Source organism: Homo sapiens, chromosome 2 (genome assembly GCF_000001405.40).
Source record: "Homo sapiens chromosome 2, GRCh38.p14 Primary Assembly".
In the NCBI taxonomy this organism is placed as follows: Eukaryota; Metazoa; Chordata; class Mammalia; order Primates; family Hominidae; genus Homo; species Homo sapiens.
In genome coordinates, this window is record NC_000002.12 from 232,235,000 (window position 1) to 232,251,986 (window position 16,987).

The following is a 16,987-nucleotide window of genomic DNA, read 5'->3' on the forward strand; positions in this document are numbered from 1 at the left end:
TCAAAGAGATGGTTTCTGAATCCCGCTTTATAATCTATGTTTTAATTGGATGAAGCAGTTCTCATGTCCCGTCAGGTTCATTCAAAGGAGTGTTTGTACTCATCTAAGTTTGTGGACCCTAGGCAAAGTGAGCCAGGCCCGGCTGCCCGGGGGATCCTTCCTCTCTCTGCTCTAAATGCTCTTTAAACACACAGGCTCACCTACTCCCTGGCAGATGAAAGTTTTAAATTTAAAAATATTTTAAAAGAATGCTTTCATATGAAAGCCAGTATCTTTTAAAATATCAAATTTGTCTTAAACATTTTGGCAGCATATGCCATGTGACTTTTGGATTTATAGTTTCTCTTTCATAGAATAAAAAGTTCAGTGCCACCACCTCAAGAGTTCTGCAAGTTCACATTATGTAAACATATATAATAAAATATTTACTTAGGGTTTCCATAAAAAAGATCCAAAGCAGAGAATAAGAGAGCTTCTCTTTGCTGGTTTCAGAGGCTCTGCTGGGAATTCTGAATGAAATTTAAGCCTCTTGAATATGTTTTGATTGGCCTTCTTCATATTTTATCTCCTGTAATGAACTCTTTGTCAGTTTGTCAATTTTGACTAAGGACAGAAAGTTCATGTGCAGTAACACAGAGACTGAATTTAAAATTATGGTTTATATCATGATGTAATAATCCTCTCTTTTGTCCTTCAGTCAATATTTACCTGTTAGGCCAATATATTATAATGCTGACTTCAAAAGAAGACACTTTATTTTACCTTCTCTAAGTGTTGGTTTTAGATACTTGAAATATCAAAACTGGAAGTTGAGCCATCTGAGACTCTTGGCTGAATTCACATAAAGTTCAGTTCCTCGATCGCAGGGCAGGTTTCACTGCTCCCAGTGACCCAGCGACACAGCTGCGTGCCTGTCAGAATGAGGCAGCTAAGCTTGGAGTCATGCTGGTTCCTCTCAGCTTTCCAGACAGCCCTCTCCTCTGTGGGAAACAGATCTGTTATGTTACCCCATAGCAGCCAGGATCTCTTAAGTGGACTTAAGTATTCCTTTATGTATTACAGCTACAGGATTGGGCGGAAAAACCTGAAGAATGCCCTGTAGGAAGGTGGTCTCTGAGTGTCACACCAGATGAAGAATAGGGAATCTTAAATTCTTTTCCTTGCCTGAACCCCTTTTTTCAAGCATCCCACGTTTAAGCATTTTTCCATTTTAAAAACTGAGGGAAGAATTATCCCCCAGTGAAGGAGTAGGAGGATAATAAGTAGCTACACAGTTTGCAGATAAAATGTGTGATACCTTAGGACTGATCATTCAGGTTACCAAAAGAGCAGATGGTACTGTGTTAATAAGTTCTTCTAAGCCAACTTGGGTATGAGTCAAGACTCTGTCAGTGAGTCATAATGGAAAGGGAATTGATCCACTCATTAACTGCCAAGTCCACAGGTAGACTAGTTTCAGGCTCAGCTGGATCCTGAAGTTCAAATGAGGTCATAATTCTTCTTTTCTTTCTTAGACTATTATTTTCTGTATTGGCATGATTATGTAGCATAGATGTTTCCTGGCAGCTCCAGGTTTATGTGGTCCTTAGTGCCTAGGATCCCAGGAGAGAGACCCTCTTTCCTGAAGTTCATATCATTTATCAATACAACAAGTTGTATTGTTCAACTGAAGCAAATTCAGCACTATGCTTGTATCTTCCATGTGCTTCTCTCTGCCCATTGTATATCTTTAAACTGTATACTTATTTTATTTTATTATTTTATTTTTTCGAGACAAAGCCTTGCTCTGTTGCCCAGGCTGAAGTGCAGTGGCACAATCTCAGCTCACTACAACCTCTGCCTCCAAGGTTCAAGCAGTTCTCCTGCCTCAGCCCCCTGAGTAGCTGGGACTACAGGTGTGTGCCACCACACCTGGCTAATTTTTATTTTTAGTAGAGATGGGGTTTTGCCATGTTGGCCAGGCTGGTCTCAAACTCCTGGCCTCAAGTGATCCGCCAGCCTTGACCTCCCAAAGTGCTGGGATTACAGGCATGAGCCACCGTGCCCAGCCTATATACTTATTTTACATGTATACTCTTTTTTTGTAATTGGTTCATTTTCTGTATTTTCATACACACATACATGTATATGTATGTACGTATGTATATACTCTTGTATGTATGTGTATATTTTTATTTTCACATACACTATATTTGATAGGTGATTTACAGTATGTTCAAGAATAAATCTTAAGTTTATAACCTAACTACCCTCCCTCATTTAAGGTACAGTTCTAACAGCCTTGGTCACCTGACCAACTCTCTGGTAAACCTGGTAGGGAGGGCAGGGCCTATTAAAAGACAGCTCCACCAGGAAGGGAAGGAGCAGTTCTAAAAGGAAAAAGAAAGTGGGTCCTTTACCAGAGGGAAAAGACAGACCGACTGTTGATTCATTCATTCAACAAGTACTTCTTGAGGACCTATTATGTGCCAGGTACTCTTCCAGGCCTTGGGTAACAGTGAACATTACACAAAAGGCCTTATTTGCTGGAGCTTACATGGTAGGGAGAGAGACAGATAACAAACACACAAGCCGATAGAGATATGCCGTGATATCTGGTAGTGATGAGAGCTCTGAAGAAAGACCACGGTAAGCCTCAACAGGTGTGGAGTACGTGCTTTACAGTGCAGATGGAGGAAATGGTTGGGGGCGGGGTGGTGGGGAGTTGGAGGAGACAGACAGGTGGAGGAAATGGTGGGAGGGGGGTAGAGGAACCTCTTCTTGTTTGGGGATTCTCTTTCAGTTGACCCAAATAAAGTAAGGAAGATTTTGATAGGCAGATCCTGTTAAGACTATCCCAAGCATAGGAAAAAGTATGAGCCAAGCCAACATCTAAATGGCTTGAGGGAAGATCTGTTCAGGAAATGGAAAGAGGTTTCCCATGACAGCTACATACAGAGCATGTGAAGGATGGGGCTGAGGTTGCTTGGGGTGTGACCCTGTAAGGACATGAATAACAGGCTAAGAGTACCTTTCCCAGACCCACATTTAGAAAGATCACAGCAAAGTGTGGAGGGCCAGGTGAGGGGGGCACAGAGGCGAGGTAGGGCAGCCAGGTGTGGGCTAAATAGGGCAATGGCCAGAGGGAATGGGAAGGAAGGGCAGAGCTTTCAGAGGCTTCATCTGTAGGATTTGGGGATTAATTCACTTCTAGTGACCTAAAAGGATTTGTTCATCACCCAGAATGAGCCATATCTTCTTATGTTTACTCAAAGATAAGAAGCCTTTAGAAATGGGAAACATCTTGGGAAAGTGGTTAATCTTGTTTATTCACAAGAACAATTTCATCATCTTTTGCTATACAATGAGGAAAGTGACAGTAGTGCGGGTCACAGAGGGAGGTGGCCAAGGAAGGAAGCAAGCAAGACTAGATGTGTCACCTAACTGCAGGTCCTGTGGCCTCTGGGAGTGACATACATTCTAGGAAAGGACTCCTGGGAGAGAATGCTGTGGCCTTCCACGCCAGCCTGATAGTCCTTCTCGTGCATTTACAGGCAACTTCAAAGTGGGAGTTCACATTGCTGACGTGAGTTACTTTGTTCCGGAGGGATCTGATCTGGATAAAGTGGCTGCCGAGAGGGCTACAAGCGTCTACTTGGTTCAAAAGGTAAAAATCCATCTCTAGTTTCTTTTTTCTTGCTTTGTTTATTTGTTTGTTTCCCTGGAAGAGTGTGTGCTCTCTGTTATTACATGTTCTCCGGAAAGAGAAGCCAAAGGAAGACACAGGTGTTCATCTGAGGCCTCATCCCAGAGTGGCCCTGCTATATAAGTAACTGACAGATACTCAGCTTCAGAAAGAAAGGAGGCAAAATACCTGCTTTCAAACGATTGTTCTAAAGCAGGGCTCGGCAAACTCAGCCCACACTAGCGACTAGTTTTTGTAAGGTTTTATTGGAACTCAGGCACATGCATTTGTTCATGTATTGTGGCTGCTTTCACACTACTTCAGCAGAGTGGCATGACGATTTCCTATTACTGTAAGCCCTTTAAGGAAATGTTTTCAACCCCTGTTCTAAAAGGTGGGAGCCAATCTGGTCCTGACCTGCCCATTACAAGATAGCTATGGGAGTCTCCGAGATGGAAAAGCGAAGGGAGATAAGGAGGAGCCTGAGCTTTTCCCTCTCATCCTGACTGCACCACTCTTGGTTAGTTACTAAGTGTCTACAGACCTCCCTAGACTCATCTGTGAAATGAAGGGACTGGACAGATTCATCTCAAAACATCCCTTCCATTCTGTGTACTTGGACCTGGCACATTCAATAGGTAACCATGAGAATCCATTCCTTTAACACATATATATTGAGCACCAATTATCTGATGGTCACTGCAGTAGGCCTCAGAGAAAGGGGTTAATAAGAGACCAAGCATGAGTAAGTTCTGCCCTCCACACTGTGGTTCATGAATTCTGCCAGGTTTCTTTCTCTTCTTTCCCTTCTCTGATCCTCTGCTCATTTGCTCATCTTCCTTCTTCGGCCATATCTGGACTTCCACTTCCTTTCTAGCTTTTTAAAATTTGGCAGTCCAGTTTGGGATTCTGCCTATACTAGCTTGAGCCTTCCTGCCTCCCAAGCCCATGCCCTAGGACATGATTCTGGTATTTGCTCATTGACTGCCCTAAGGTCAGAGGAATATCCCCACCATCCACCCTAGAATGCAGCACCACAGGTGCATTCTAGAATTTCTGGGCTCCACTTCTAGCAAAGTGCCTACTTGATGTTCACAAAGGTATTGGCACTTCTGGAGCAAAAGCTATCCAGGAAAGCCCAAAAGTTTCTAGGATTTCTGGTATTTACCAAGTGTTACTGAGAGTTCCTCTCATGTTTTCAACTTGTCCACCCTGAAAACTAACCTCTCAAAAGGGAAGAGACCAGTCTAGGCTTTGAGTGCAGCCATATCCTCTAGGGGCTGAAGATCCTGTTGCCTGTGGCCCAAGTTTAGTTCCCCCAGTGTAGCTGAGCTTATCAGTTGACAGTGATGTCTTCCACCCCATGGTGGAAATCACCTTGTCTGAGACCCTTTGCTCCTGCTACAAAGGGAGCTAGCCTAGATGGGCTCTCTTGTCCCAAAGGAAAGCCAGAGCTGTTATCTGCCATAGCCGCCTTCAATATGTGGAGGCCCTACCTAGGAAGACCTGGCACCTCCTCTCCCCTGCCCCAGGACAGTACTCTCTGGATCACTGAAACCTAGAATATTTGAGCAAAACCCTAGCTCCACCTGCTCCAGGAGACTTGTACAGCCGATTTCTTCAGAAGTACAGCTTTGCCTACCATTCACATTAGGTGATCAGAACCACCATGTACGTGTTTTCTGCCATCCCAGAAGTGAGAATAGTGAATAGAGAGGAAGACAGAGTTGATCAGAGCCAGGAAATTCTGAGTCAGAAGCTGTGTGATCATCAAAACCCCATTCCAGGTAACTGTGTCATGGGCAATAGGTAATCTCAATGCACAGTGATGCCTGAAAGACCCAGCACCTTCAGTGACCAATTAGTGAGAATAGTTAGCTGTGTCCTCATCTGAGCAGGGGGAATTCCGTACCAGACTTTGCTTGTGTCAAACGTACTGTGTCCCTCCCTGACCTCTGTGGCTGGCCTAAGCCTAAATGCAATGTTTAAGAACTTCTCTTTGCCCCCCGACCCCTCACAATGTCTATGACACCTGAGTCCAAGCTCTGAGCAGGTATAGGCAGCTTAAGAGAATGCAGTGCAAACTTCTGACCCACAAGTATCTCTCTTGAGTACATGGGGCTTCCTCCCTGACCCCCATGGCCATGAAGCCACGGCCATGCACTAGCTGCTGCGCTCTCCTTTTATAACCAGGAATTACTTTTCAAAATCAGAAAATGAAAAAATCAAATTGGGTTAAGTAATTAAGCATGTTTCCTTTTCTGTTTCCTTTGGTTTTGTGTTTGTCACAGTTCTAGAATTTCTCTGTGGGACTACAGAGTTGGGGCTCTGCTGCTGAGTTGTGAAAGTGGGGAGCTGGGTGGAGGAAGGGCCCGCACGCCTCTGCTGCCCGGCACTGCCTCCAGCTTGGCAGGCACAAGTGGCGCCGGCCCGCAACCTTGGACAGCAGCAGCTGTGCGCTCTGATTCCTTTGAACCGCTGCTCTGACCTTTCTTCCTACTCGGTTTTGTTTCTTAAAGGACTGTGTCCAGGAACTTTTCTGCTGTTTTCACTTTACTTTGCCTATAAAGGTCTTCTGAAAAGCTGGATGAGCTGTGTTTCCGCCCTCCAGATTCTCTGCTTTCTCACTTGGCACAATCATTTCTCCCAGCTTCATCACACAGGGGAAGGGGGGCTGGGGTTCCAGTTCATTTCCCATCTATAGGGAATGTGGCACTGATTTCATTCAGATCTGTAAGTGACTGATGCCAGAACTGCAATCTTAGCTCCTTATCTAAACTCTAATTGGGGGATTAACCCATGGAGTAGGACAGTATACAGTGTAACAGGTCTTGGGTCCAAATACCACCTCACTGACTTTAAATGAAATTCTTTTTGTTGAGATTTTGCTCACAGTAATAAGTATTTGGTTATTCTTGTTAACAATAGGGTATAATCAGGTGGAAATATAAATTTAGGTAGTGTCCATTTAAATATCAGGAAAAAACTTTTTGACAAAAGATGATTCCGTTAGATAGGGGACACCTGCCCACCTGAATTTTGGTCTGTCTTTCTCAGAAGGACACAACATTTGCTCAGTTAATGCCTCTCAACTGTCTTCTCTGGGAGATAAATATAATGTAATTGCAAAGTTTAAAGTAATTTTAGAAAATAAGCAAATTAAGCTTTAAAAGTAAAAGAAAACCTAAACAGTTGAAACCTAAACCTAAATTTTCTGCCTATTGGCCCAAGCATTCATGTTATTTTAGGTGCGAAACAGCTCAAGTGAAAGTTCGCCCATAAATCTCTACGATATTTTATTGGTACTGCTTTATAATAGAGATCAAAGATTGGGATTGGAAGCCTGTCTTAATGTAGAGTCCAAAGAGTTTTAAGATGTTTCTTTCTGACACCAGCAGGTTGTCAGAGTGTTGATGTTTTGTTAACGTCAAACTGTGTAGCAAAGAGTTGATCAAATTCTGAATTCATGGAAGTGTTGATATGGAAAAGAAAACTCTTTAAACAGAGATGTTGGCTGGCAAGTGAATTAATCTATTTCCTTTAAGTTATTTCAGTGTGTAAGTAGGGAGCTAGCTGAGTGTACCTTGTTGTTAAAACCTCGAAGTCCTCGGAGAAAAGGGGGAAAAGTCACCAATTCTCAGACTGCAGATATGGGCTGCGATGGCCAATGGGTTATCGCACTGAAGGCCTGAGGGAGTGTGGGTGGGGAGCCAGCAAAGGCCTGGGCTGAAAGGGGCAGAAGAGGCCCTGCAACCTCTCCAGGTAGTGGAGAAGCCCCTATGACTTGGCTTGTGGGCATCTGGCTCCCACATCACTGCTAGTCCTTCCTGCTCCTCCTTGCCTGAATGATTGATTCTTCCCTTCTGTGGCCCTTTGTGTTGGTCACAGGGCTGTCCTGGCTAACCTGCTGCTGAACTTGGCCAGCCTGCCCACTGTGGCTTTAGCAGATGTTTCTGCTCTCTGAGGCTAATATAAGGTTTTATAGTCTTGTTGGTACCCCCACCCAGCTGCCTTGGGCAGTGGTGTATTTACCCAAATGATAAATTTCTCTCTACTCTCTCAAGACCTGGTCCAGAATGCTTAGAAAGTCAGTGTCCTATCATCACTATCCCTTTTCTCCACGGCCAGCTCTTAAGCTCTGCCCTGACTCAACTTTGGTCCTGGCCCCAAAGCATGCTTAAGAGGACTTAGCATCCTTCAAGCCCCGTTTCCTTTTCTGCTGCCTGAAGTGCTTATCAGTCTTCCTCCACTTGGTATTTATTGAGTACCAGCTGTGTGTCATGTTCGAGGGATGTAAAGATGAGACAGATTCTGGTCTTGCCCTGGGGAAGCAGAGGAGGTGGACAGGTAGCAAACACTTGCAATGCATCAGGCTACCTTCAGGTACAGAAGTGCCCCAAAGGTGAGGAGGTGTTAGAGAAGAGAGAGGGGTTGTATCTGCCTGGGCTGGTGGTGGGAGAGGAGCTTCTGCAAGGTCCAAGAAGGCTTCACAAAGCAATCGTGTTTTGAACAGTGTTTCACATTTTGAGTAGAAAATTTCTAGATAGACAAAAATGGGCAGAGAGGGCATTCCAGGCAGAGGCTAGAAAAAGCAGAGAACATTCAAGGAGCAGTATGCAGTTTGGAATTCTTGGGGTGTGAGTTGTAGAGAGAGCCACGGATGAGGTTACAAAGAGAAGCCTGGAGTGGTAGGCGAAGGAGCTCAGATTTTGAGGGCAAGTAGGGAAGTGATACGGTCTCCTTCCACCAAGATAGAAAATCACCTTAGCAACTGTGTGGTTGAAGGATAGTGAGGCCAGAGGCAGGAAAATTGTCATCAGTACCTGGGCCCTTTCCCCCAGTCATATCCTCTTGAGGCTCTGAATAACTACCCCAACACAGAGATCTTTGCTCACAAAATCTTATGAGAGTTTACCAATGTGGTAATGTCTAACTGGACCCCAGGAGAACTAGGACAATAGATGTCTTCAGCCTAGTGCCAAATGGACATTCTGAACAAGCAGCATTTCAGTTACTTCAAATTGTAGTTTCTTCCCAATTCTGGCAATGCATATCACACAAGAAGAAGTAGGGAGAAGCAAAGGGCAGGGAAAATGGAGAAGTTAGCTTCCCACTGTTATCTTTGCTGTCCCCTCGGAGATAGGGTCCTTCTCCCGCTTCCCTGTGGGGAACTCTTGGCCACCTGTGACCTTAGCCACTGAACATTGAGGGTGCAGGCTTTTCCAAAAACCTTTTGGCCCCATGGAACCCTCTAGGCCCTCCTTCATCCACAGGACATGCAAAAGTCCATTTACTAAATTCAGCTCCTTAGCTATTGGGAAGGTAAAGCCAGTGTGTCCTAACATAAATGGAATTGCAGATTATCATTGAGTGGAGATTAGTAAGAAGATGCAGAAGTCTGGAGAATAAACAAGTCTTATCTAGAATAATTTCTACTTCAGAATTGTCACTGGTTTTTATCTGAGAGAGGAAGAGAGACATATCCACACTTGAATAGTGGAAGGAGGAGAGGAAAAGACTCATTTGAGAGCGTTAGAATGTCAGATCTAGGCTTGGGAAGTGATTGGATGTAGAAGGGAGAGAGAGGAGAGTGAAGAATCACAGGCAAATCCCCAGCTGTGTTCTGGGGACAGGGGTGAGGAGTGTGGGGAGACATGGGTGTGGTGTTTTGATTTTTGGTGGTTTTGAGGGAGGGGTGGTCGTTTGCTTCCTTGCTTATTTAACTTGGGACAGAGCGCTGCTCTTAACAGAGGTAGGAAATGTAGTCAGTGGAACAGGTAAAGAAGGGAGGAAAATGCTGAACTTTGTCTTCTCCATGTGGAGTTTGAAACATTCATGGGACATCCAGTTCATGGTATCCAGAGGGCATTGTAGACGTATGTGGAGTCACAAGGCCAGATGGCCAGACCTTGGACAGGGAAGACACTCGTTGTGAGATGGCAGGAGACGAGGGCACACATGTAAAGTGAGTGGGCCTGGGAGAAATTGGCCAAAGGAAGGAGCTGGAAGGTTGCTTGCAACAGATTGAGTCTGATGATCTCAGTTTTCTCTGTGAAGAAGAGTTGAGGTTTTCTGCTGAGAAAGATTGGGAAGGCAGTCAGGTAAGAGGTCTGAGGAGAATAGTAACATTTTGGGACCTCTTCTGAGGGGCGTGGGGAAGGAGCTAACAAAGAGAGGTGAAAGGCCTGCCAACCCTCATGGAGGTAAGAACTAAGACAGCTTAGCAACTCACCTCCACACGGCCCAGCAGTTTTCTCTGTCACTGCTCAGTGAGGACTTGCAGAAGTAGGAAAGGGCGATTATAAGATCGATCATAGGGTTTGTGGAGCTGGGATAGTAGAAGTGAGGGAAATAAAGAACCTTGAAGAAATTATCCATGTGGTTCACACTGCATAGCAAAGTTAATGAGGACAAGACAGGATAAGACTGGGGAAAAGGATCAAGGGGTCAGGGAATGTATGAACATTTGCACAGTTCTAATGATAGCCAGGAGTTTCCCAGCTCCTGGAGAGACCTTTCTTTTCCAGTCAGACATGGTGTTCCACACTTATCACCCTGACCCAGAGGCTCTCAGGAACCATCGCAGGCCTCATGTAGCTGACCTGGGTGCATGGACTGTTGCGCCATGGTCCAGGTGGGTCTCCCCCTGACATAATGGGACTTGGATTTGAGAAAGCAGCTGATCAGAAGGGGCTGCCTGCCTCTCCTTTCCAGCCCTCCTCCACAGGGATCCTGCTGTGCCTGGGGTTGTGGGAGAGCACATTCACAGTGACCCTGGCAGGAATTAGGCCCCATTTATGAGAGGCTGTGATGTGCCAAACCACAAATGTGATTGTAACCTCTTAATTCCTTTTCCTTTGAAACATAGAGGAATAACCATCTATTTACAAAACTATATATACCTAAAGACTGTTTTCTATGAGAATTTCGTCTGAATTCTGCTTTAAGACCTGGTAAATGTCTTTTATAAAAAATACTTCTTAAAAATTAAATATAATTATACTAACCAAAAAGTTTTAAAGTTCAGCTTTTTCATGAGCACTTAGATTGGTAACTGACCATTGCAGTGTGATTAATAAAATGTCTTCTGTGTAAGATATAGGATACCACACAGTTTTTATAGCCTGCACAACCACTGCATGTGCTGGTAAGTTTTAGGTTAGTAGCCAAAACAGTGTAGCTTATACTTAAAATACTAGTTGTTTATGAAGTTTTTTTTGTCAAGATGTTTAAATATAAGTCTCTAGTATATTTCATAAAATGTTTTATGTGATGCAGTAAACATAGAAAAAAAGAGGTGGTCCATCTCCTGGGCAGAAGCCAGTCAGTTGTCTACACACTGGAAGTGCCTACCATGCATCAGGTGTAGAGAGAGACAGGAGTGAGGCCTGGCCCTTGCTCCTGAGGTTTCAGTGTCTGTGGCACTCAAGGCACCTGAAGAAGCAATTAGGACAGTGTTGTAAATGCAGCAGAAGAGCAGGGAGGATGGAGTAAGTGGCTGACTGTGTAGGATGGCCCCAAATCCTCTTTGAAAGAACAGGGGAGGTGTGTAAAACACAGCACACACTCTGCCTGGGGGATTTTGGATAAACCTTTTAGCAGTGGCAATGAGCTGAATCTGAAAGGATGTACAAGAGTTTGCCAGATGTAAAATGTCCAGAAAGGTGTTCCAGAAAGAGGGACCAGCACAAGCAAGAGCTGGAGCAGCACACAGACAGGTGAAGGGGGTGCAGTGGGAAGGCCCATGTGACTGGTGTTGCCAGTGCCCCGGGAGAGGGCCAGGGCACAAAGCTGAAGGGGATGCTTGAGCCTGGTGACAGTGCACCTTGGATACCGTGGGCTGGCCAGTGAGCTGACTTTCACTGAGCATCTTCAGTATTGTTCTACCAATAAGAAGACCAAGACTCAAAATTTTACTAACTTGCCCAAATTGTACAAGAAGCGGTGGGCCCAGGATTAGCCCCCAAGTCTCTCAGGTGGCAAAGCCTTTGCTGTCTTTCCTGCACCATGCTGCTGCTGAGTCTGCACTTCACTCACTGTAAAAAGGTCTTTAGACCTTGTTGTATTTTTTTAAGTGGTGAGGCCCTTTTTGCAAATAATATCTGAACCCCAAATTCCAACATATAGAAACAGATCAGGTTTTCACTAAATAATTAGCATTCATTTATTTCATATTTAAATGTGTAACACACACCAATTAATGAAAACAGTGACTTTGTTTTTAATAAGCTCATTTATTTTGGAAATAGCTAAACTCCTTACTTTATTTGGATTTCACTAGTTTTTCCATCAGTGTTTTCTTTCTGTTCCAGATTCTAGTTCTGGCCCAAGTTATAATGACTTTCTTTTGACAAACACTAAATATGAAGTTAGGAATTATAATGCATTGTCAGATGCTCAGCTTTGTGACTTAAAGTAAGATACTGCCGTGAACACTTAGAAGACACACTAACTATCTGTACAAAAGGCATTAAGCCCTGGACTGATGTCATTGCAACAAGCATGCTGGGTGGCTGAGCAGCCAGTTACCAAAATACAGTTGATAGAACGAACTGTTAATGCAGCCCAGAGGAGAACACAAGAATGCATACCCAGCAAACTTGATGTAGTCTGTCTTAGCTCAGGCTCCTATAGTAACATGCCATAGCTTAAACAACAGAGATTTATTTTCTCCCAGTTTTGGAGGCCAGAATCCCATATCAAGGTGCTAGCCAATTCGGTTCCTGGTGATGGTCTCTTCTTGATTTGTATATGGCTGTGTCCTCACATGGGCTTTTCTCTGTGCCTACTCATGCAGAGAGAGACTTGTGTCTCTTTCTTGTCTTATAAAGTCACCAGTCGTATTTGACCAGGGCACCACCCCGTGTCCTCATTTAACCTTACTTACCTCTGAAAGACCCTGTCTCTATATACGGTCACACTGGGGGTTAGGGCTTCAACATATAACTGCCGCGGGGGGGGGGGGGGGGGGGCGGGGGGGAGGGTGCCAATTCAGTCCCTAGGATAGCCCAAAGGCTGAGTAGGTGAAATCTTTATCATTCAACCACGAGATGGTATCATCTTGAAGCTTTCTCCATTTTGTGCACTATTTTTAAACAGGTGAAGATGTATCATTTTATAAAACACTTGACATATACAAGAAAATGTTAAATATTTGGATTACATTCTAATGCATCACAAAATAAGTTAGCAAAGAAAATATAGTATTGTCTGAACTGATGGTGCAAAAGTAATGGCAAGAAAAAAATTTCAAAGGTAGTTGTCTGTAAAAGCTGTTAGCGAAGGCTGGTAGGAAAAGTTGTTACCAGAGTTATCAGGTAGTCATTAAGTTTCATACAGATGTTAAAAGACATGACATTCTTTAGAAATACCAAACAATTGCCAATTATTTGTTACTGGTGTGGGCCATGAGTTCTAGAATTTACTATTCCATACCAAAGATATTTACTGTACTAAAGTAGAGTACAGTTGCAGATACTTCACGCAGAATAAGAAGCCGCTGGGGTTTGTTCTGTTTCTGCCCGTAAAGAAACATAGTTTGCTGAATGTCCCTCAATTACAGCATGGCCACCCTTTGCCTATCACTTCTCAGTTACCTAGCATGGGGTTACAGTGTTATCCATGCTCAACACTGCAAGCCAAAGTGGGCCATAGTAAGTGTGTTGAGTAAATGGCTAGTACTGCTGATGTTTTTAGTTAGAGAGGTGGGGTGGATGGTCCTGCCATTAATCAAGAAAAATATGGGAAAAGGAACAGATAGTGGTAGATGGGAGAGAGTTTTTGAAGTAATTTCAGGAGATACAGAGATATTCATTTCATCTTTGGAATAGTAGGAAAAAAAACAAGTAATATTTTGGGACAACTGCAAGTCATCATTTGAAAGTAAGCTGAAAAACAGTTTTTAATTAAAGAGTATATACCGTTGACTCAGTTTATTATGGAACAGAAAGATCAATAAGGAGAAGAAATAATTTAGGCTTAAAAAATGGGAAAATGGATAACTAGTTGATCACAATGTTTATCTAGGAAACCTGGATGTATGATCCTTTCTGTTTTATCACTCTAGTGATATTTTATTGAAGTAGTCTCTTAATGTTCCAACATGTAATTTGGTAAATTACGGTATATTCAGTTACTAAAACATTGATTCAACAATAACAATAGCTTATTTTACTTTAACAAAACCCTGTCCAGAGTTTACACTCAACCCTTGGGCTCTTAAGTATATGTATAATTCAACTGGAGTGCTTATATCCAAAAGCACAAGTACTTCTTGAGTCTGGAGCTTCAGGTTTAGTAGATAATACAATGTAGCTATTTTACATTGCTTGCATTGTACTTTTGTCTTCCCTTACCAGTTCTCCTCACTTTCCCAGCTCATATTCCTATTTGACTCTAGAGGCGCATGGAAAAGTATACAACAGTGTGGTCTTTCTGCAGAGTCTTTGGGAACAGAGCCACCTCCATCTTCAGCTTGCTCTGGAAAAGCTGAAGCTGTTCACCAAAACTCTGCCCACTGGGCTTCTCCTAAGCGGGTTGGAGAAAGGTGCTCATGGGCCTGTGCTCTATTTACAGGTGGTCCCCATGCTTCCCAGGCTGCTGTGTGAGGAGCTGTGCAGCCTCAACCCCATGTCCGACAAGCTGACCTTCTCTGTGATCTGGACACTGACTCCAGAGGGCAAGGTAACAACTTACACGTTTTCTTTCTCCACTTACCTCTTTTCTGTTCCATGAGTCATGAAGCACTCACCATGTGCCTGGCACTGGCTTGGGTGCCATGGTGGTAAGACAAGGGAGGTATGGAGTAGCCATCATAGAGAAATGTCAGAGTCCCTGCCTCGGAAGAGCCGTTGGCCCCACTTAGAAGCCAAGACTGACCTTAAGCACTTAGAACAGGCTTCTTGTCTGTTATCAGGTGAAGGAAGAAATTGAGTAAGCAGAGTGATGCCGGGGAGGCTTATGCAGGAGACAGGGTGTAAGTGGGATTGAATGAGGATTGGCAAAGGCAGGAGGGGCAGCCCAGCCTGCAGTTAGGAGAGCAGAGCCTGTTTAGAGGAGGACATTAGGTAAAGTGGGAAGTTTACATAGGTGGGGTGAAATCAAACTGGAGAATCACAAATGAATTGTAGGTGTTAGGGTTCCTCTGAAGTGTCATGAGAAAGCTGATTGTAGAAAGGTCAGTGGTGCATCGTCATGCTGGATGATTGGAGCGGTGAAGATGAATTAGCAAGGTAGTGCTATAATCAAGGCACAAGGTGGTGAAACCACAGACCAAGAACAGAGGAGAGAAGGATGTCAGCAGGGGTTTCTGGGCATAAGGAAAAAGATGTCTGTGCCTGTCGTCGGGATGTGCCTATGCGTATCATAGGGAACGGCAGGAGAGAGATACATGAAAGAGAAACTAGTCCCCTCCCTGCAAATGTAACAACTCCAAACATTCAGAAGTAGGGTCGTGATTAAGTAAGCCCTGGTGCCTTCTCAGTGGAATATATGCAGTTATTAAAGTTGTTGACAGAGACCATGGAAGAACATGGGAAGTGTTTATACTGTAATATTAAATGGAAGTAAAAAAAGATATTTAATTATAAAGAGGTTCCAAATAAAGATAGAGGATCAAATACCCACATTTACTTTCATTCCCTCCCAAAACCTCACTAAAACAACAGTAAAAGGATTTTTTTTTTTAAAGACATAAACCCACAAGGACAAAGAGAGTGGGAGAGGAGACAACAGCAACAAAATTTTGGAATCTGGGTAGCAGATGGATGAGTGTAACTGACTTAGCAGTCCTGAGAAAGCTGAATCCTGAGCCAGCAATAGAGAAAGCCAAGAAACAACCCAGTTTATGCAGCAGAACCCTAAACAATTCAGAAATTGACAGTACCAGATAATTCTAGAAAGTGGGGGAGGGGTGGGGGAGAGTGAGGCTAACAACAGTATTGAAAGTTTATTTTTAAAAATTGCCCCTCCTATAACTTAGTGGAAGATCAGAAATGTGTTCTCTAGACAGGGTAAAGTAAGAGGTGTCTGAACTAGAGGACATCAAACATGCTTGATGGCAGTGACACCTTGGGGGAGATTGAGTGAATGTTGGCATACTGAACGTTAAGAGTGTCAGCTTTCTTTTTGCTGCCAGCCCCAGAATTCTGGTCGCCAGGCCTATATCCATGAGTCGGGACATGGGAAAATCTCTGAGGACTCTGAATAGTGAGGAATAAAAACATAAAGATACTAACCTTAAGAGTTTCCCAATCAGCAGCCCAGCTGTCTTTCCCTACAGTAAAGCTTACAGACAATAAGCTTCACCCGCACAATCAGAGCTTTTTAGGATTTCATTTCCATATATGAAGAGACAACCCGAGGGAAGCTTCTAATGTGAAATAGGGAGGCTATTACTAATGCATTGATTCAACAATAGCTTTATTTTACTTTGATGAAACCCTGTCCAGAGTTTACACTTAGCCCTAGGGCTCTTAAGTATATGTGTAATTCAACTGGAGTACAAACAAAACAGGAAAGAAGTAAACAAACAGAAAATGAAGTAAACAGGAAAAAGTAACTAGAACAAAACACACTAGCAGGGAAAAGAAATTATCACTTATATCTTTAGGGAATTTTTTTAAAAAAGAAGGTAGCTGTATCACAAAATCTTGATACTTTAAAAAGGAAACATTTGGAGGGAAAAAAAGAGCTCTTGGGAATTAAACACAGGTTAGAAGAATTAAAGATTCAAGATTCCTACTGAAAGGTAAAGTTGAGGAGCTGTCCCAAGAAGAGACAGAAAAGACAAAAAATTAGAAGACTAGTCCAAGATATACAATATCTGTTCAATGACCGTTCCAGAAATAGAGAACAAAGTAAACAGAGGAAAAGAAATGATCAACAAAATAATTTTAGGAAATGCCCCATTCCTGGAAGATGTGATTTTCCATATTGAAAGGGCACACTGCCTAGCACAGGGGTGGAGGCACATCATCAAGACACATCATTATAAAATTTCAGAACACTGTGGACAAAGAAAAAAAGACATACGATAAAATCGGAAATCAGAATAACTTCAGACTTTTCTACCACAACCCTAGAAATTAGATGACAGTGAAGCAAAGCTTTCTAATTTCTGAAGAACTGTGATCTCCATGCCAAAATTCTGTACCCAACGAAGCTATCAATAAAAAGGGTAGGAAAGGACATTTTCAGACATACAAGGCTTCAACAAAAATGTCCATCTCATACACCCTTTCTCAGAAAGCCACCAGAAGATGTGCTTCACCAAAATGAAGGAGGAGTAAATGAAGAAAGAGGAAGACATGGGACGCAGGAAGC

General features: G+C 43.3%; 1 protein-coding gene across 4 annotated transcripts in view; it reads left to right on the top strand.

Annotated features, from left to right (window-relative positions):
* The window catches only part of DIS3L2 (DIS3 like 3'-5' exoribonuclease 2), a 382,638-nt gene that overhangs the window by 273,287 nt on the left and 92,364 nt on the right, over positions 1-16,987 (top strand). For all 4 annotated transcript variants that reach the window (NR_046477.2, NR_046476.2, NM_001257281.2 and 1 more), the window contains 2 exons: positions 3,534-3,646; positions 14,240-14,347. Coding sequence is in view for 2 of the 4 variants with exons in the window: in NM_001257281.2 (NP_001244210.1) it covers positions 3,534-3,646; positions 14,240-14,347 (221 nt within the window). In the remaining 2 variants the exon portion in view is untranslated. The remainder of the gene's footprint in view (positions 1-3,533; positions 3,647-14,239; positions 14,348-16,987) is intronic.